The sequence below is a fragment of the Homo sapiens genome, chromosome 18 (assembly GCF_000001405.40).
Source record: "Homo sapiens chromosome 18, GRCh38.p14 Primary Assembly".
In the NCBI taxonomy this organism is placed as follows: Eukaryota; Metazoa; Chordata; class Mammalia; order Primates; family Hominidae; genus Homo; species Homo sapiens.
The window spans coordinates 58213243-58234555 of NC_000018.10; the positions used below are offsets into that span (position 1 = coordinate 58213243).

Genomic DNA, 21313 nt, shown 5'->3' on the forward strand with positions numbered 1-21313 from the left:
TTTTAGAAATAAAAAATGTGTGCAAAGTCATATGTATAAGGATATTTATTGTACCATTATAGTGGCAAAATACTGAAAATATGAAAACCCATCAGTTGAAAAACGGCCAATTTATGGACTGTTTGTACCATGTAATATTATGAGAGAACTAGAGCTGTATGAGAGTTGGCTGTGGAGGAATTTCTATGAGAACTTGATGAATGAGAAGCAATGTGTAGAAAAATGTATAATATCCAGTTCTAAAAGACGCATTCCTCCTGTGCCCATATGTGTAAATGTGTGAGTGTGGAGAACAAGATGAAAATGCTCATTCTGTATGTTAAGCAGGGAGTGGGGTGGAGGTTAATGTGGAATGGTGGGAGAGTGGGGTGGCAGGGATTTCCAAGTCACTCACCAGTGATGAGTGTTAACCACATCCCCATTTTTTTCCTATGAAGGAAGCTGCAATGCTGTGGTTTGAGGTTAAACATGCTGGCTCCTTCTCTTAGGTCTTGATTTGGTTTTTGTTGTTGTTGTTTTTTTTTTAATTCTAGTCTGTTCTTGTTTTGCTGTGCTGATATCCTCTTAGATTTTACGAGCATATTAATTGTGAGTATTTAACATTCTTCTTTGGTTTATTCTGAGACCCCGTTTGCCTGCCCTTTGGCATCATTGGCAGTTTTTGGTGGTCTACTGGTCTTCCTGTTTGTGCCTCTCGTTTGCCCCTTTTTCACTGGAATGTGCCAGGTTGAAGCAATATGTAGGGCCCGGTGGGATGGGCCAGGAGGTGGCCTTTCAGATGTGGCTCCTGCATGGCCCTGCTTGCTCTCTTGAGCTGCCTGCACTTCAGTCTTAGGACCACATTCCTGCTTTGGCCTACATGAAGTGCAAGGTAGCAGTGGGAAAAGCAGAGAGGAAATGAAGCTTCCTGATAAATCACCTGATCGCTGCCCCAGGGTTAGTCACTCTAGCCCCCTTGGATCTCTTGACTCCATCTCTTGATTTGTTTCTTTTGAATTTCTGGCATCTGGAGAATACTTGTACAGCAGCAGTCCCCTGGTTTTGTTTTTCTTTCAACCCAAGCCCATCCCATATCTGTTCATGTGATGATACTGTGTCTTATTTTCCCAAGATTCTTATGACTGTGATATTTAGTCTGAATCAGAGAAAGAGAGAGATAGAAATGTACACTCAGAGGGCCACTTGGATGGAAACTTCTGTTGATCTCTCCAAGCCTTAGTGGGATCATCTGTAGAGCAGGGATAATAACAGCGCCTATCTGTTACTGTTAGGGTTACTGCAAAGATTAAAATAGGTGGTGCTCTTAAAAGACTTAGAACAGTGCTGTCATATAGTAAGGATTCCATAAACATTAGCTGCTCGGTTTGTGTGTGTGTGTGTGTGTGTGTGTGTGTGTGTGTGTTTTGTTGTTGTTGTTGTTTTAAACGGGATCATGCTGGAAATGATAGATTGCAACAGAGCTTTGGGGTTTTTTCTCTAATTAATAGATCTAGGATGTTTTCTGAGGTGTGTCATGTTTTTAAAACTCTGTGGTATTTCTGTTTCTTTCTTTCTTTCATTTTTTTTTTTTTTTTTGTTGTTGTTGTTGAGACAGAGTCTCACTGTGTCACCCAGGCTGGAGTGCAGCGATGCCATCTCAGCTCACTGCAACCTCTGCCTCCCAGGTTCAAGTGATTCTCCTTCCTCAGCCTCCCGAGTAGCTGGGACTATAGGCATGCACCACCATGCCTGGCTAATTTTTGTATTTTTAGTAGAGACAGGGTTTCACCATGTTGGCCAGGCTGGTCTTGAACTCCTGACCTCAAGTGATCCGTCTGCCTTGGCTTCCCAAAGTGCTAGGATTACAGGCGTGAGCCACCATACCCAGCCTGGTGTTTCGTGATATATCTATGTGTGAGGGTTTCTGTAGTTAAGTTCCCATAGTTGAATTCCTGGTTCAAAGGACAAGAACATTTACAATGTTCATAGACGTTGGGAAATTGCCTTCTGTAGTACTGCACTAGTTTCCACTGGCTGTAGTGGTTGATGAGAGTACCAGTTTTTCCCTAGTTCAATATTAACCCATTTTATCAGTCTTTTCATCTTCGACATTATGGAAGGTAAAAACATCTCATTTTATGTCTTCAGTCAGTGATGCCAAGTATCTCTTCGTGTATTTATATTTCCATTTTTATCCAGTGCCAACTCACATCCTTCTGTCAATTTTTCCTTTGACCTATTAATTTTTCATTGATAAGAATTCTTTGTAAAATGGGCAGTTTAACTCCCCATCTGTCATATGTTTTTTCTCATTTGATTTATTGTATATCTTGTATAGCACCTTTTAATTTTAACATTGTGTTTTTAAGTGTCTTTTCTTTGTTGACTTGGAAAGCTAACAACTACTTACAGCATAATTTCCTTCTGTTAAAAACAAGAAGGAATTTCCCCACTCTAATTGTGAAAATTATACATTTTTCTAAGTCTGAAAAAAAATAGAGGAAAAAACAGAAAAAACAACAGAAAGAACATCAGTCACTCTTAATATTTTGGCATTTTCCTTTTAGTTGTTTTTTAGGAGAGAATGTATATTTATACTTCGCATCATAACATAGATATAGTCTATTTTGGTGATTTATTCCAATATGTAATATATGTTTCTGAATGTACAATATCCTATTTATCATATCTGTTAAGTTTGTTTCCAGTTTTTCATTTAAGAGAGAAAGGTACTGGGAATATCTTTGTGCAAAACAAGAATTTTTTTTTTTTTTTAGTCAGATTCTGTTCCTATGATACCTCCCTGGAAATGGGATTCCTAAATTAAAGAATATTAGGATTTAAATACTTTTGGTATAGATTACCAATTTGCTTTCCTAACGTGTGGTACTAGTTTATGTTGCAATCAGCACAAAGACTCACTGTGCCATTTATCATCAGCAGAGAAGAGAGCAGCCCTGAAGATTTGGGGGAGGAGTGTTCGTAGAGAGGCACGTGAAAGTGAGTTTGAGAGGTTTGAGAAGTAGCCAGGTCAGTGGGGCTGGGGAAGGGAGAGAGTTCATGGGGGAGGGCTGGAGATGAAGGTAAAGGAGCCATGGTTCTTTAGGGCTGTGTGGGTGCTGGGGAATTTGCATTTCCTGCTTAAGGTTGTAGTAAGTCAGCCTGGAGAGTTGCAAGAAAGGAGTGGCTTGGTGTGATTTATTGTAGCAAGTGAGAGTGACCCAGAGGCCAGTTAGGAGGCTGTTGCAGAGGCCTGAGTGAGAGAGGATGGTTTAAACACCAAAATGGTAACATTCAGAATGGAGAGGAGGAGATGGTGGGAGATTAAATTTGGGGATGGAGCCCTTAGGATCTGTTGATTGACTGGATGTGTAAGAGAGAAAGGGAAGAGCAGAACTGAGGAAATGTCCTCTTGAACTGGCTGGGGGCCACTGAGATGGGACAGATGCGCTGGGGAGCAGTGCAGAGGTGGAATCACTGCTCCTTTTAGGTCTAAGGCATCCCTTAGATCTCCAAGTGGATGTGTGAAGATGGTGGTAGAGGAGAATGGAGCTCAAAAGAGGGGCCAGAGTCATTTCCATTTAGATGGTCTTTACAGCCTAAGGAACTGGCAGATTTCACTAAGGTTGAGGTCTTTCTTTCCTGTGAAAATGTGATCAGGATCCTAAGTAACAGCCCTAAAAATTAAACATTAGGAATACAAGGTTTCATAAATTAGGAACTGTCTGTAGCTGCCAGATTCTAAATGTTTTGAGGATACAAATCTTGGGGTCTTTTCAAATGCTTTGAGCAGAAGAGGTACATCGTATTGTGTTTACTGAATGGCATTTAAAGATGCAGGAGACCTTTCCCCCTTCTTGATGAAACAATTTGCCTTTCAGATGTTTTGTTATAGTGAGTTGATTGTAGGACCTTATGAAGCATGTAAACCACACATTTGTAAGGCATTGGAAGAAAAAGCTAACGCGAGTTAGGAGGGATTTAAGACCATGTGAGGAAATTCAAGCCTATGTTGTTATCACCAAACCTTGCCTGTGTTATGTAAAGATTTTTGCCTGTGTCATGTTATCTTCGTTGTGTTCAATTTATTCCTCCCCCTCCAAGTGTCCTAGTTTCTCCTCTACTGTAGCTGGTTTTGAACAAAATAGAGAAACTTGGGTCTCCTCTACCCTCAGCATCTGAATTCTTCTCATTTGGTTACTCACTGTGTTAAAATAAGTGATATAGTACATTCTTAGCAGTTTGTTTATTTTTAATTTTATTTTTTATGGGGCTAGGGTCTCGCTCTGTCACCCACGAGTGTGGTGCCATGGTGTGATTGCAGCTCACTGCAGCATTATAACTCTTGGGCTCAAGTGATCCTCCTGTCTTAGCCCCACGAGTAGCTGGTATTACAGGTCCATGCCACCATACCCAGCTAATCTTAGCAATTTTTAAATAACTTTTTTTTCCGACTGTAACAGATTTAGATATTGGAAAAGATAAAACATAAAGCATTGATCTACCTGTAGAGCCAAATAGCCACAGGGATATAAATTGGTTACCATTTAATTTTATTTCCATCTATATTTGGCTATATTTATATTTATGTATATGGAAATAGTTTATGAATTTGGAATCATACTATGATATTTTTTAGAATGATGCTTTTTAAACTATTTTATGGTAAGCATTTTAGTAAAGCTCGTAATGTTATTTTTAAAAACGTACTTTTCGAAGGCTGCAGAGTATGGATAAATTCATGATGACTTTTTAGAGGAAAATATCAAGATGATCTCACTAACAAATCCTGAGATTAAAAACAAAAGCAAACAAAATACAAAAACTGAACCATCTTTGGAATACTATGAAATTCAGATTTTATGTTCTTAATAAAATCCTGTTTTGAATGAAATCAGTCTTCATGCTTTTCTTATTCCTTTTGGCTATGTTGCCTACAGTTGAATTAACTGTTTTTATATACTTCCTTTGCTTTGCATTGAAACAAGCTGATCCATTGTGACCCTTTGTGGTATTTCATAAAACCACACCCTAAAAACTGCCCAGTCTTTTAAGTGTAGTCAACAGTATTGAGCAATTTTTTGGGTAATATTGTCGGAAGTGTTAGGTGCCAACCAACAATGGCTTATTGCTTACATTTAAGTGTAAGCAATATACAATTAAAGGAATGTCATGACTTTTTAACTTCATTTTGAAATTTGAGTTTAGAAAAAATTCCAAGGGAAATGAGCAAGAATGAAAGCATCCTCTCCTACTGCCAGACTTCTGGGAGACCCACCCCTGGTCTTCCCAGGTGTCTCTTCAGTGACCTTGTTGGTCGTTGAGGGCTGTGGAAAGTTCTAGGGAGGCTGCTCGTCCCTCCTCTCCTTTTGCTTATTGCATTCTGCCCAGATTATAAAACTGAAGTATCTGTCTTAAGACGCCAGCAGCTTTTTCTTCATCAAATCCAGACACATCGAATCCCCCACAACCAAGAATTACCCAGCCACAAAATGTCAGTAGTGCCCCGGTAAAAGAAAGCTGGTTTTAGACTTAGTCTCAGAACCTGGCCATCTTCCATGGATTATCCCGATATGTGCATCCTTGTCTCTTTTCACTATAGCCTGGTGATCATGGTGGCAGTTTTCATTTTGGGACACTGGTGAGGTTAGAATAGCTTCAGGCTTCCCTCAGTGAATAGTATTGTGAAGGCAGTGGTGGTAACATTGTGTTGGAGCTGGTGTGAGGGTTGAATCCACTCTGTAGCCTCTGTCCCTAGATCATGGCGCTGCTTTGATTGGGCCCTAATTTTCTCCTCTAGACAAAAGGAATTGAACTAAGACTTCCAGCATTCCCTCCAGGCTTAACATTTTTTCATTTGGTGCTGATGGTCACTGACTATTTTCCAGTTACATTTTAATGCAAGTTTGGCAGAAGCCGATTTCTCTGGGTTAGGGAAAATGACATAGGTGGCAGGGAGGTGGATGTACACCATTTGTTTGATCAGTTTGCCTAGAATGGAGGTGGCAGAATTGGAGTTGGAAAGATCAAATGTAGCCTTTTTTTCCCTTCCAGAATGAGGCTTTTCTATGCATTTTTTTGAGGCATGAGAACCTCATGGGACAAGGCAAAAGTGAGCATACTCAAGTGAAGTGTATGGTTATGGGGGAATGGTTATTAGAAATGTCAATTGTCTCAATTTTTTAGTATTAATTTTCAGAGGGAAACAGTGGTGTAATTAGTGTTGTGATTGTTTGCCAGGGCGGTCGTAACAAAGTAGCACAGACTGGGTGGCTCAACTACCACAAATTTGTTTTCTCAGGGCTCTGGATGTCCGGAGCCTGCGATGAAGCAGGATTGGCTTCTTCTGCGGCCTCTCTTCTTGACTTGCAGATGCTCCTCTGGGTCTTCCCAGGTCATTTGTGTACCTGTGTCCGTGTCCTAATCTCCTGTTCGTATAAGGGCACAGTCATATTGGATTGGGACCCACCTACTAACCTCATTTTAACTTAATTACCTCTTTAAATACCCTCTCTCTAAATACAGTCACCATCTGAAGTATTAAAGACTTCAACTTAGGAATTTTGGGCAAATACAATTAAGCCCATCACAATCAGGTAACATTTGGTAGGACGTGTAGATGCTTTTTATCTTTAAGGGAATAGGCAAATCGTTAAAAATAAATAAATAAAAACTTGTTCAACTTGTTTAGGTACATTTTCTTATAGTGTATTGTGGTTCTTATTTTTTTAACCTTCCAGCTAGTGTGTAAATTGGAAACATTGTAGCTTAATTTGATAGTTTTAGACATAATCAAAGATGATGGAAATCTTGTTCTTAAATTTAGTCTATTCAGCAACTTGTGTATCCTCAACTGCTGAAGACTGAAAACTTGAGATGTTCCTCTTGTTTTAAGAATTTGACTGAAAACGGGCTGGGCACGATGGCTCATGCCTGTAATCCCAGCACTTTGGGAGGCCGAGATGGGTGGATCACTTGAGGCCAGGAGTTCCAGACCAGCCTTGGCAACATGGCAAAACCCCAAAAATACAAAAATTAGTGGAGCGTGGTGGCTCACACCTGTGGTCCCAGCTATTCAGGAGGCTGAGGCACAAGAATTGCTTAAACCCCAGAGGCAGAGACTGTAGTGAGATCGTGCCACTGCACTCCAGCCTGGGTGACAGAGTGAGACCCTATCTCAAAAAAAAAAAGACTGAGAATGGTTGGCACTGTCCCCCTGTCTCCAGGAGGGTGAATGTTTCTAGCTGAACCCTGGTGCCCACTTGCTCCTCTAAGCCTTCAGCAGTCCTCCCAGCCTCAAGGGGTGATCCGTTCATCTTCCCCCCACCTCTGGAAATCCCAGCGTTTGAACGCTGGGGGGAACTGCAAGTCTAGTTTACAGGGTTTCTCAGCTGAGATGCCAGGAACACTTCGCGAGTGAGCATGCCACCACATTTGAGTGCATATAGAAAGTTAGCTGTTTGCTACAACTGGGGACACTTCCTATTAGAGCCGCATCTGCTGGGGTGGAGGGCTGCATGGGTTGGAGAGTAGGGTGTGACTTCTTCCAGCAAGAGGAAAGAGAAGTAGCATAGTGCCCATCGCAGGCAGAGAGCACATGTTTGACTTGCTCTTGGAATTTCTGTAGAGTAAGGGTGGTCAGGTTGCCAGACTACCCCTCAAACGAGGACATGGTGCTGCTGGGTCCCAGGGTAGAGCTCTGCTGGCACCTTCAAGGCCCTGATTTACACCTAAGGGCACACAACTGGGATCTGAAAACTGGGATGCACAGTACAGACTGCAGATTTACAGGGCGGGGCTGTCTCTCATCTGACTATTGATTCTTTTGGGGGCTGTAGTTTGTATCATAGTTATTTTTGTTCCTGTTTTTTTCCCCTCTTCAAGACAATAAGCTTTTGGAGGGCCAGGAAGTTGTGTTCCCATCTGCCGAGTGTGGGGCCTCGAGGGCCAGAACCTCAGAATGTAGAAGCTGAGTTAGTTTGTGGCAGGGTGAAGGGCTGACCTCTACTGTTGGAAATGCCAAAATCTCTGATCTGGCTTTAAATAAGCAAAACAGCCCCGCCAGACATAGAGTCATCCACAAAACCTCATGACCTCTGTTATTGCCCATCCTGTGTGGAAGCCCACTGAGAACTTCACTTGAAGATGCTGCAGGAACAACTGCAGGGAACCTGGAGATAAGGCCCCGGGTGATGATGTAAGCTAATTGCTGAGCTGGGTGGAGCTACTTAACCTTATGGTAGGAGGTGGAGCTTGACGCAACCCCCTTTTCCACCAACAAGCATTTCTTTCTACCTGTCATTGAAGTGAATCATCAGTATAAGTAGCGAGCTGGGCGCATTCCTTCTCAGTTGTGTTAAAACTTGCTGGTATTCCCCCGGTATCAGCAGAGGTGTGTACGGGCACTGCTTTAAAACTGGGAAGGAGGAAGACGAGGCCAGGGAGCCGGAGGGTCACCAAGGTAGATTTCCAGCAGCGCTAGTCCAGCTGAACACTTTCCAGCCTTGTTTTTCAGCAGCTTTGAGGAAAAGTATAGGTAAGAACAAAGACACCACTGTATGTTTGCTATATGAATGCATAACATCTGTTCTTGGTGTGAGTTTGATGTTGGTTTAATACTGTTTTTATGTCAGCGGCATAGTTCTAGCATGTACCAAGATTTTCAATTTTAAATGCTTTTTGGTGTTCACAGTTAGCTATAATTGGTCAATTTTACCCTCCTTATGCATAAAAAGAATGATAGGCAAAGAATGAGCCTTGAAAAGAATTGGGATCAGAATTCTGGTCCCCTGTTCTTTGCTTCTTAACTTTCTTGACTGTTTAGAAAAATGTACAGCTTTTCTTCCAAAAACCAAAGCAATAATACTTTTATTTTTGAAAATAATGGAAAACAGAGACCGCTGAAGTTCTATGAATGAGGTTTTCTGTTTTAGAAATCACAGGTTGAGGAGGAAAGAATTGTGTTTTCCTTCCTGTTCTGTTTCGAGTCTCAGTATTTCTGACTTAGAAACCTCCTGGAGAAGAGGGAGATACCAGCTCTCCTTTGTTTCAAGTAAAATACCATCTTAGGTCATAAAATAGTTTGCTTGGAGAATAATTCATGGCTTATATCTGAATTTTTGGTTGGTAGCAACAGAAATCTTTCTCTTCCTCGGTATGAGTAATTTGGCTTACATGATTTAGACTAAATTTTATTATATTTTTTGTTTGAGAAAACAAAAGTCAAAGCCCAGAACATATTCAACTGAGTTTTTCCCTCAGGTTTTCTATCATTTTCCCACCCTTCCTACTCATACATGTGAATATGCTGAATGATTAACATGTGATTTTTGTTTCTTTACTGTCTCATTTCATGGTGATTCATAAACTGTTAGTTAACTGGTTATAGTGTATCCATATGTTGGCAAAGCTTGAAATAAATTTGAGTGCAGGCCACACCTTCGTATTAATGAGCCGGGTTACTTTCAGTAAAGTATTTCTGATGTCATTAAGTGTTAAGATGGCCGGAATTCTAAAGACAATAAAAATGTATCAACAATATGAAATATCAAAGCCTACAGTCAAATCTGAGTTATTCTTTAGTACTTATTTCATAGCTATTCTTTAATGTTTATTCTTTAATACTTATTTCACATTGAAAAGTACTTTACACATGTTTGAATGAGATATTGCCAGTGAAAGAAACAAAAGGAAGCAAATAACTCTATAAGGGAAGTGGGATTTTAAAGTATGTTTGTGCTGGCCCCAGGCTGGTGAGTGAGTTTCATTAGCAATGACCAGGAAGAGAAAGAATGCCACAGTGGTGGGTGCTGACCTTTTTTTTTTTTTTTTAAACCTTTTTTAATGTCTGTAAGGAATACAAGGTGAACTTTAATTCTTGTGGGAATCTAGTAAGATGGAAGTCAAGAAGAGAGGAAGAAATGCTTTTTATTTAGTTAAGAGGAAGTAAACATCTGTATTAGTTACAGATGTTATGCCTTAACCTTTTTCATTCCTATTGTTTTTATGAAAATTTGCCTTTTTAAGTTAAATGAAGGTTTTCTGGAGTCCTGTATTGCAACTAAATGTTGATTTAAAACGACACATTTGGGACATTTTCTTGGCACTGTGGAATATAATGAAAAGATATAAAATGAAGGCAGGTATGAAATTATATGAATTCTGCTACTTGAGTGTAGAAGTTTTATTCCAAAGTGGTTTGTTTGGTGGATGTGGTGATGGTGGGGGGCTCTATGTACTTATTAAGGCAAGTGATGGGACAGGAGCTTTTGTGGTCTTGACGGTTCTGTTGGGATGGGAGGGTTGTTTGGGATTTTTATGTTTCATTCCAGGCAATGTTTATTTTTTCAGCCTGTACTTCTTAGGGTTTTACCAAGTCAGTTTTCATGTGAAGCCATTTTCATATCGTTTCTTTCACCTTGATGGAAATCTTTTCCTTCTTATGTGCTTTGAGTTAAATATGATGTAGTGTGCTAGTAACATAGACGGGGCTTTCCTTTCTACAGGTGGGCTTGAAGTGAGCCTGCCACTCGCTCACCTTGAATCACGGAGGTTTCAGAGGCCGTTGGCCTTCAGGGCAATGGCAGAAGCACATGTTCTCTGCTGTTTTCTGAGTCTATCTTGACTGCGTTCCCAGTGGCCCAGAATTCCCCAAGGGTCACTCGACACACCCTCGTCTACAGTAAATATTTGTGCTTCCTCTGTGCCTGGCCAGGTTTTCTCAGTACCCAGGAGCACAGGTGGGCAGTGGGATGTGGGCAGGCGGTACCCAGATTCCCTCCCACAGGGGCCACAGGGAGGACTTGGGCGCTTCCTGCCAAGAGCCCCCTGCCCTTCAGACTAAGTGGAAATAGAGATCCGGGAGTCCAGTGGACTCAGTGGAGTTCCGTAGAATACATGGAAAACGCACCGCTTTCAGTGATGTAAGCTGTCTTGTTCACTTCACGATTACTCATCTGGCCTGCAGCAGGCAAGAGGATCACATGCAATTATAAACAGCCTCCTCTGACTAAGGTCAGTGACTGGAAACCCTGTCACGTTATCAGAGGTCATTTGGTCATAGATTCTTGGGCAGAAGCCATTGAGAGTCCTGGGGGTGTGATCTTTGAGCCTTTGCCAGTGCTGGGGTTTGACTCCTTTTAGCTCAATTAACTGGGTCCAGGAGTTTATTTTGGCCGAGATCTGCCATGCTGAGTTGACAGGCTTGACACTGGAAGGAAGTCTCTAACTTCATTAGAGGAAATGGCGTGGCAGGCTTTAAGGCATTTTGATATACTCCACTTTTTCTCTCTTGCCCTGTTTTGTTGAGGTTTTCAGGGCCATAACTGTACCTGAGGTTAATCAGTGAGTGATCTATCTGAAAGGAATTTGTTCTCTTTGGGCACCGTCCTGTGTGGTATTATATTTGTATAACTATTTAGCTTAACTCATTCAAAAGGCTATTTAAGTCACTTGTCCTGTTCATTACTTGAAAACAAGTTGTCTTCTCTTTATTCTTTTAGTCAGTTACCAAATATTTCCTAAGTGTCTCTTGTGCTAGACATTGAGGGGCACTCCTTCTCCCTTTCACTTGTCTGTTTTTGTTGAGCTACATTTTTTCCTTAAGTCAGATTGTTCTTTTCCTGTTACTTTTGTTTTCACTTGATTTGTTTATTTATATTTAAATATGTACTTTAACAGTCTTGAAGCATTGGTCTGAATGAGGATGGTGATCAGATTGGGAAAATGCCCCTTAATTTTGGTTTAAAAAAATTTATTTTCTTTAAATTATTTGTTTATTGATAGGGGCCACCCACTCCAGGTGAGTGGTTTCTCTGTGTGTATGGCAGAGGAATGCTCTGTGTCTGGAAAAAAAAGTCACTTAGCTTGAAATATTATGAAAGCTGAAGAGTACAAATGTCAGAGAGAAAGGGGTATTGGGGGGGAAGAGAATGAGAAGACAAGACACAGTCAGGGCCCTGTCACCCGTGTGGAACTGCAGGTCCCTGGAGAGATGATGCATTTATCCCTTTTTAGAGATATTGCCATTAAAAGTTGATCTTGAGCATGACACAGAACTGAAAGCTTTGATGACAAAGCCAGCATCTCAGTTTAGCAATAACCAGGTTAGGGAAAAAACCCCAGAAACTCAACAGTGAGATTCAGCTCAGCAATGTGGGCGGGGAACCCACTGTCCCGCCTTGGGCAGGGAGCAGCCCCAGCCGCTTCATCTGCCTGATGCTGGGTTTTATCCGCTTCACAATTAAATTTCCTTTTTGTTATGCTTGCGCACATCTATATTTGGCTTTGCTTCTTATTTTTTAAGAAAGGGGAGAAGTGTGGGCAAGGTAAAATACAGCTTGCAAGCTCCCAAATGGCAAATGCACCAGTTAGAGTCTAAGTGGCCTCCCAACCTTAAGGTGAAATTCATTTATTCAGCAAATATGTACCAAGCCCATCAGGGACCACTGCTCGAGATACCAGTGCAAATAGAAGAGGCCAAGGGCACATTATTAGGTCCGGAGCCAGTGGCCTGCACAGCCATCTGTGACCACCTACCTCTCTGCTTGCAGGGAACTTCAGCCTGGTGGAGGAGACCCATAATAGCCAAGTCAACTGATAATAGAATTAGTAGTAGTGTTGAGGGACATAAAGAAATCAGGGTAAGGCCATCACAATTACATGGGTGGATGATCTTTTATAAAACAGCACAGTTTTGTTTTCTTCTGCCATGGTATCTCCTAACATTTTCCAGTGTGTCTACTTGCAGTTAATATGGAAGTTGCGGCTGACACTAGGTTAGTGGTTAAAAGAAAACAAGAAAACCAACCTTTAGAAATCTTTAGAAACATCATTATCATAGAAAGCTATAAACTCTTATGTATAGAAGGGTAAGTGGCCATTGATCTTGGAGCAGAATGAATGGATATTTCCTGGAAAAAAATATTTCCACTCATCAAAGATACTCAAGTCTCTTCTCATCTAATCAATATTGGAAACTAGGAATATCCACGCCTATGGAATATCCTCAGAGAGAATTAATTATTCTGCCCTCTAAGAGGTATAGTAGTTTAGACTTAGAAGTAAAGGCCTGAACTTGAGGCTGCACCATTGAAGGCAAAAGTGCCCTTTATCTCCCAGCTTTGTCATTTGCCAAATGCAATTGTGTTAAATTAAGTGACCTCCAATAGCAGAGCTCTATGTTTTCTCCCCTGACCCCCAAGTCAAAATTGATTATAGTAATCCATCAAACCAGGCCTGGCAAATGATGTTTTGCAACTAAAGGATAAATACTGAGGGGGAGGGACGAATGTGAACGCATATGCAGAGCAACACAGTCATGAGACCATTCTATTACTTCCTAAATTTCTTAAAGCTTTTCTGTCTTTTCTGAGCTTCTCAAGTGAGCAGGGGCATGAGTTCCTGTGTTGTGCCTGGGGACAGGGAAGGCTTTGGGACCTACTGTGGTCTTAAGTCTGAGCAGTGCTAATAGCCTCGGCTCACCAAGTGCTGGGCACTGTGCTAGAGGGTGTACAAACCTCTCATCTCATGAGGCCTCACTGCTACAGCTGACAGAGATGACATCCAGTTGTTTTTAGTTGCACATGGCAGAGCTAGAAAACAAACCAGGGTGTGTCAGACTCCAGAGCGCATGCCCTCTGTGATGCCGCTGTGTTACCCTAGATCAAATCAACCAAGCCATCCGTTAAAAAAAAAAACCTGATCTTTGTCAAATATGCAATTGTTATATTTTTGTTAGAGTCTGCCTCTCCAGTGAACGATATTAATTTCCTTCAAGTGGCTACTCACAGATATCACAAAATCAGAAAGCTGCCTACCCTGCAGCCTGTATCTGCCTCCACGTCCCCACATCAGTCCTCCTTGCTGTGCTTCTTGTCTCTTTAGTTTTTATCATCTTCTAACACTGTGAACTTTAGTAATTTATTCTGGATTGTTTGCTACCTGTCTCCCCTTGGTAAAATGTAGGCTCCGCAGAGGTAGAGCGTTTTGTCTGTTTTCTTCACTGGCATATCTCAGGTGCCTAAAACAACCATGCCAGACATGTAGTGGTGCCAGTGACAACTTGTTGAATGAAGAAATGGGAGAAAAAAGCAGACCCCGGAGACTTAGGAGGGTCTGTGTGAGGGAGTCTCCAGGCAGTCTTCCTGGGGGTGTCCTGAAGGACCTCCTGATCGTGATTTTGGTCAGTGTGGAGGCTGTGGTTTCTTCTGAGCTGTCAGTATTTGGAGGTGAGTTGTCTGCAGGTCACCTCATCCCACCTTTACACATTAGTAAAATGGAATTCGCTGGGTGATTCTTAGGACTGTGCGGTCAGTCGAATTACCAGACGTCCCTGCATGCTCTGTCTAAGGGCTGGAGTCTGCTTTCCTTGCTTCTCTTCTAGAAAGAGGTCTGTCCACAAGGGATTAGCCTCGCGAAGTTCCTACTGTTGTTCATTGACCCAGTGAGTGTTTTACCCACTGTGGGTTTTTCCTACCTAATTGCCCCTCTGGTTTTCAGTGTTCAACATGCTGCAGTTACGTGTTCTGCTGTGGTTTTACTTAGCTTAATCCTTTATTAATTGCCTCTTGTTCAAACTCCCTAAGAGCAGATTATCCTTCTCTTTCAGCTTCTGCTCCATTGCTGTTGAACTTTTTTTTGGTCGTGACATCAGAAAAATAACCAAGTGTGAGTCTGATAATAGCAAGTAAGGCTATTTTATTTCTATCCAATTTACCCCAAATTTGAGCAGTATTACACCTTAAAATAATAGAGCTGGCTCTTGCCCAGCATGTGAAAAGTGTATGCTTCACGATGGACAGATATTTTCCAGTATCTACTTACCATAAATCTCAAGATTTACCCTACCCCACTCCAGCCATTACCCCCATGTCCCATTTGCCTAACCTACCCTAGGGCCATCTCAGTGCCCTGTAAAGCAACCTTTGTTGCAGACCCACTGTGTGACTGGAATGTGATGCACACAAGTGACCAAGGCATGGCCCTGTTCGCAAGGAGCTTCCAGACCAATAGCAGAAATGGACACATAAGTAAACAACTGCGCTACTGATAGGCTTCTGCCAACAGGAGTGGAGCTTGAGGGCCAGGAAGCCTTCCCAGAGGCACTGGAGCTTGTTTTAACGTTACGTGCATGCCAGGTGGGGGGCAGGACATTTCTAGCAGAGGAGAAAGCATGCTGTGCTCTGAGAACTAAAAGTCATAGTCACTCCACTTGGTGACATGTATAAGGCACATGGAATAGGGCCAGAGCTGGGCAGACCGTGTATGCCACAATAGTTCGTTGTAGGTTACAAAGAACCAGTGCAGAGTGGGTGAGGCATAGGCTATTTGATTAATAATTTGGCTGCATTGACAAGATACGGAAAAGGCGAGGTTGGGACTTTCCGTGAATTTTCTCCTCAAGGTGCTTAATCAGTGAGGTTGGGATGGCCGGAGGGGGCCCTCATTTGCTTGCCTGGTGCTCAAGCCTGAGGTCCTGGCCTTTAATAGTCAGGGAGGTCTGTGTGGAGGCAGGGTGTGAGCCCCCTCCAAGGAAAGCTGCAGTGTGAAAAGAGGCCCAGGATGAGCGTTGGGGAGTATCCACATACAACTTGATATTCCTAAAGTCTCAGTTCTTTATGGGAAAGCCCATGCACTCTTCCACACTTGGAATTCTTTGCAAAGTGAGTGGTATTTGAGCTTCTTTAGAGTCTTGCTACTCCCACCAGCTGTACTGGCATCACCAGGGAGCTTGTTAGAAATGCAGATTCTCGAGGCGCGGCTCACAACTACCCAATCAGACTACATTTTAACCAGATCCCAGGCAATCCCTGTGCACGTGAAGTGCTAGAACACTGCTCTGCGGTAAAACGACTTTGCTAACCATGGAAGAGGGTGATTTTTTTCCCTTTTCCTTTGGTGTTTTTTATAGGACCTATTTACCTTTTAGAACTTTTTCAGAATTATGGACTGCAGAATATATACAGTGTCAATGTCATTAGCAATTCATTAGTGATATTTGGCTAGAATACATAGTTGTTTCCACACAAATGCCATTTCTTACATTGAGATGGCACATGTCTGGTTAGGACTTGGGCTCATTTGTAAGGAGCCACGCTGCAGGTAGGCATGCTCCCGGGACATTAGTTGCTCAGGTTTCAAACTGCTGCCCCAGCATAGCAGATGGCACGGTAACAAAGTCCCTGTGCACTCTCACATTGCCTGCGGTGATCTATCACACATTTTGTCCCCTAATAACCTAGCTGGGGGGGAGCTCATGTCTCTGTTTGTGCTAATGCTCGCTGTATCCCCAAGTGGCAGTACTTAATATAATTGTCATTGCTCTTTAATATTATCTCATTCCACGTCAGCTGCACAAAAATTTGAGGTTAATCACAATGAATGTTTTCTCAATCCTTGTTATTGAGAGCTGTTTAATAGTTTATTTTGTATGTGAAGATTCATATCTAGATTGAGGCTTATACAACTTCATTTAAAGACAGCTTTTTCGGCTGGGCGCGGTGGCTCATGCCTGTAAGCCCAACACTTTGGGAGGCCGAGGCGGGCGGATCGTGAGGTCAGGAGATCAAGACTATCCTGGCCAATATGGTGAAACCCCGTCTCTACTAAAAATACAAAAATTAGCTGGGCGTGGTGGCGGGCACCTGTAGTCCCAGCTACTCGGAGGCTGAGGCAAGAGAATCCCTTGAACCCAGGAGGCGGAGGTTGCAGTGAGCCGAGATCGTGCCACTGCATTCCAGCCTGGGCGACAGAGTGAGACTCTGTCTCAAAAAAACAAAACAAACAAACAAAAAAGGAAAGCTTTTTCAGGTTGGAAAAATATCAACAGCAGACATGAAAAAGCATGAAAAATGACGCTAAGAATGTAAGCAACTGGAAACAAAAATTATAATGGTGCATAGTGAGCTGAAGATCTATATTTAAATGTGAACTCCCCTTTCAGTTTATAAGTGATTACTAACAGCCTCATCAGGTTTCTGGAATTAAATGTTTTATTATTTCCTCCCAAAGTTAGTCCTCAAACATTAGTATTTCTTGTGTTCTTTTGATTTGAATATTTGTTTTTAACACACAAGGATATCAACTCTATAAGTCAGTTAATATGTTCATGCTTTTAGTTAATCGAAAGTGGCTTATGATTTCAGTTTTTGGTATCAGGTGATGTTGCGGAAGTGAGGTTCACTGTGAAGCTTCTTCTTTTTTTTTTTTTAATCATTTTGTTGTTTCTTTGAGTGTATGTGAGCTTATAACTCAAGACACTATGTGAAATGACCCTGTGTTTCCTACATTATAGAAAAGAGGAAAATGAAGCAAGTTCAAGAAAATTAGATTTATGTGGAAAATAAATTCTGCATCTAGTTATTCATTATCAGGTATGAGATTACAGGCATGAGCCACTGTGCCTGGTGACCTCATTTGAACTCGATTACCTCTGTGAAGACCCTGTTTCCGAAGAAGGTCAACATTCTGAGGTGCCATTGTCAGGTATGAGGTAAACACACTGAGAATACCACATTTTGGCAACTCAGACAAGACTATTTTCCAAACATGTAACCCTGGGAAGAAGGTAACCTATCATAGTGTGTGTTAAGAAGTCAAGCAACCAAGAAATGTTAATTGAAGGCCCGTTTTGTACAAGGTTGCATGGAAAAGACACACTAGCGTAAGACATGGACAGTGGCCCTGAGTGACGTGCAGCCGGTTTAGGCGAATTAAGATTTACATACTTGAAAAGGGACAAACAAGTCTGGACGTGGTGACTCATACCTGTAATTCCAACACTGTGGGAGGTGGAGGCAGGAGGATCCCTTGAGGCCAGGAGTTTGCAACCAGCCTGGGCAACATGGGAAAACCCCTGTCTCTACAAAAATTAAAAAAAAATTAGCCATGTGTGGCAGCATGCCCATAGTCCCAGCTACTCACAGGGGCTGAGGTGGGAGAATTGCTTGAGCCCAGGAGATCCAGGCTGCAGAGATTGTGCCACTGCAGCCTGGGTGGCAGAGCGAGACCCTATCTCAAAAAAAAAAAAAAAAAAAAAAAGAACAGAAAAGGAACAAACAACAGACACAAGATTCCATGGAAAAGGGAGTGGTCTAAGTATTCAGACTGTAGGAATTCAGAGAGTGGAGAGGCTGGTTATTATGGGGGTGCTTCATCCTGGGGAGTTGAGGGAAAGGAGGTGCTGGCTGCCTGGAGCCTGGAAGAATCAAAGATTTCCAAGGCCATGGGGGGAAAGCATGAAGGATGAGTGAATAGACACCAGGGCTGAGCACCCTGAAAACTGTGAAGATACTAGATTGACCTGTTTGGAAAACCAAACAGATGTGGCTGTTATTGACAAGTGGTTTTGTTTTTGTTTTGAGACAGAGTCTCACTTGGTCGCCCAGGCTGGAGTGCTGTGGCTTGATCTTGGCTCCCTGCAACCTCCGCCTCCAAGGTTCAAGCAGTTCTCCTACCCCAGCCTCCCAAGTAGCTGGGATTACAGGCATGAGCCACCATGCCCGGCTAATTTTTTGTATTTTTAGTAGAGATGGGGCTTCACCATGTTGGCCAGGCTGGTCTCGAACTCCTGAGCTCAGATGATCCACTTGCCTTGGCCTCCCAAGGTGCTGGGATCACAGGCATGAGCCACTGTGCCTGGCCAACAAGTGGTTTAAATTGGATTCTCCATTTCCCACCTAATAGAAAGTCGGAAGCATAGGGCAAAAGTAAAGGAAGGACCCTGTGTTCTGCTGGTTAAATATAACAGAGGTCTGACTCCATGGCTATTATAGGAGAGGTGCATTTTGTTCTATGTAAATTATCTTGATGTGTCCCCTGTGCCTTTACCCCATGATTATTTAGCACTTTTTTCTCCACGGTCACAGGGACAGGGAGAAACATACACCCATAAAACAGTGTCATCTAGAGGCAAAAACTTGTAATGCTCAAGCATGTGCTCTGACGAGGTGGGGCAGGGTGTGTAGGAACAACACTCTACTAATTATTACAGAGCTTGCTCTGCACTCTCTGTAGAAGTCCTTCAATATCCAGTCTAACACACACAGTAACTTAAGAGAGGATTTTAAAAAATCAAAATGCCCTCAGATTTGTATTGGATTTAACCAGGCTGAGATCCCTGAGATCCAAATATAATAATGTGTCCTTTTTGGATGAATCAGACACAAGCAAAAATCTCCAGTGTGTGTCCAGCTTTAGAGGTGTAGTAATGGATTCCACAGTTCACGCTGGTGGGCCAGCCAAGACTTTTAATGCTGATGTGGGCTTCATTCTTTCTATAAACTCCCTTTCTTCTTGATAGTGCATGGGCCCAGGGGTTCCAAACATGGGTACCTGCCGTAATTGATCTGTGTAACCGGAGAAAATACATATCCTATGGCACCCTTGTGTCGGGATATAGGGGGCATCACCGTAATGTGGCTCTTTTTCTGTTGATTATAGTTTTTTCTTTCTGTGATCACACAATTGTTTTATCCTCGCTTAAAAAATTTCAAGAAGTGCAGCACTCAGAATAACAGAAAAGTCAGGTGTCTGGTGGTTTGTTTGCACATTTAATAGACTTGAAGATAAACTCTCTAAACATTTATTTTGCAAGTTGTTTTTCTGAGAGTTGAGGGGAAACTTTTGCCCTTTGGTCTCCCTGAGGAATTCTAGGATTTCACAGGTAGGCGTGTGTTTTGGACTGCAGGCTGAACGTGGTTGGCAGGGTGGCATGAGGAGGGCACATATTTTAAGCGTTCTTAGGGCAGATCCACGATCCTTTACCTGCCATTTCTAAGTCCAAAAAGCCCTGAAAACCAAAGACATCTTTACAGGTTTGTAGGAAATTGATTTGAGAGCAAAACCTGATGTGAACAGATTTGAGAGTATTCTAGGCATCTTGTATAACACTTCATTCAATGCTTTGTGCCTCTTGCTGCACAGATATTAACATTCACTTATGGGCCCTGCCCCATCCCCTACTGGGGATGCTATGCAATAATCAGAATAATCAAACTAATAATAATAATAATAATTGGAATAATCACTGAGTCATTGTATTAGTCCGTTTTCACGCTGCTGGTAAAGACATACCCAAGACTGGGTCATTTATAAAGAAAAAGAGGTTTAATGTACTCAGTTCCACATGGCCGGGGAGGCCTCACAATCATGGTAGAAGGCAAAAGGCACATCTTACATGGCGGCAGACAAGAGAGAAATGAAAGCCAAGGGAAAGGGGAAACCCTGTATAAAATCATCAGATCTCTTGAGACTTATTCACTATCACAAGAATGGGGAAAACTGTCCCCATGATTCAATTATCTCCCACTGGGTCCCTCCCACAACATGTGGGAATTATAGGAGCTACAATTTAAGATGACGTTGGGTGGGAACACAGCCAAACCATATCAGTTATCTTTCTAAAGTGAGACAAAAAGTCAGAATTCTGTAACACATTTTTTCCCAAGCGTTTCCAAAAAAGGTTGGCTTTAATGGAGTATTAGTTTGCTAGGCCTGCCATGGCAAAGCACTATGAACTAGGTGGCTAACAACAGAAATTTATTTTCTATCAGTGTTGGAGTCCAGAAGTCTGAAATTAAGAGTCAGCAGGATTCTGCTGTCTCTGAGCCCTATGGGAATATCCTTTCTGGCTCTTCTAGTTTGTGATGTTTGCCAGCAGCGTTCTCTGTTCCTTGGCCTGTAAATGACAATCTTCTCGTTGTATCTTCACATCGTCTTTCCTCTGTGCCTGTGCCTGTTTGTTTCTGTGTCTACCTTTCCCCTGTTCATAAGAACACCAGTCATATTGGATCAGGGCTCAACCTAATGACCTCATTTCTTTCCTTTTCTTTCTTTCTTTCTTTCTTTCTTTCTTTCTTTCTTTCTTTCTTTCTTTCTTTCTTTTCTTTTCTTTTCTTTTCCTTCTTTTTTTCTTTCTTTCTCTCTCTCTTTCTTTCTTCTTTTTCTCTCTCTTTCTTTCTTTCCTTCCTTCCCCCCTTCCTGCCTCCCTCCCTCCCTTCCTTCCTTCTTTCTTTTAAAAATATTTTTCTTTTTTTTCCCTTCCTTCCTCCCTCCCTTCCCCCCTTCTCCTTCCCCTTCCTCCCTTTCCCCCTTCCTCCCTCCTTCTCTCCCTCCCTCCCTCCTTCCCTCCCTCAGGGTCTTGTTCTGTCATCTAGGCTGGAGTACAGTGGCATGATCATGGCTCACTGCAGCCTCAGCCTCCCTGGCCTAAGCAATCCTCTCACCTCAGCCTCTTGAGTAGCTGGGACCATGGGTGTTTGCCACCATGCCTGGCTAAGTTTAAAAAAAAAAATCGTAGAGATAGGGTCTCACTATGTTGCCCAGGCTGGCTTTG

General features: G+C 42.3%; 1 protein-coding gene across 42 annotated transcripts in view, besides 3 other annotated features; it reads left to right on the top strand.

Annotated features, from left to right (window-relative positions):
• The window catches only part of NEDD4L (NEDD4 like E3 ubiquitin protein ligase), a 357315-nt gene that overhangs the window by 169017 nt on the left and 166985 nt on the right, over window positions 1–21313 (top strand). For 12 of the 42 annotated variants that reach the window (XM_006722426.5, XM_047437406.1, XM_047437407.1 and 9 more), the window contains one exon: window positions 14588–14665. The exons of 27 other annotated variants lie outside the window; for them this stretch is intronic. In XM_006722426.5, coding sequence (XP_006722489.1) covers window positions 14588–14665 — 78 coding nt within the window. Of the gene's footprint in view, window positions 1–8328; window positions 8516–14587; window positions 14666–21313 lie in introns of those variants that run through there. 3 more of the 42 variants (XM_024451134.2, XM_047437416.1, NM_001144966.3) reach the window with 2 other exon arrangements.
• Window positions 10095–10688: an enhancer, noted in NCBI's record as "H3K27ac-H3K4me1 hESC enhancer chr18:55890569-55891162 (GRCh37/hg19 assembly coordinates)". NCBI's record gives its function as "activates a minimal SCP1, AML or CMV promoter by ChIP-STARR-seq in primed H9 embryonic stem cells {active_cell/tissue: H9 hESC(primed)}" and the evidence as "EXISTENCE:reporter gene assay evidence [ECO:0000049][PMID:30033119]".
• Window positions 11908–12007: an enhancer, noted in NCBI's record as "active region_13385". NCBI's record gives its function as "activates an Ori minimal core promoter by ATAC-STARR-seq in GM12878 lymphoblastoid cells {active_cell/tissue: GM12878}" and the evidence as "EXISTENCE:reporter gene assay evidence [ECO:0000049][PMID:35858748]".
• Window positions 18947–18996: an enhancer, noted in NCBI's record as "active region_13386". NCBI's record gives its function as "activates an Ori minimal core promoter by ATAC-STARR-seq in GM12878 lymphoblastoid cells {active_cell/tissue: GM12878}" and the evidence as "EXISTENCE:reporter gene assay evidence [ECO:0000049][PMID:35858748]".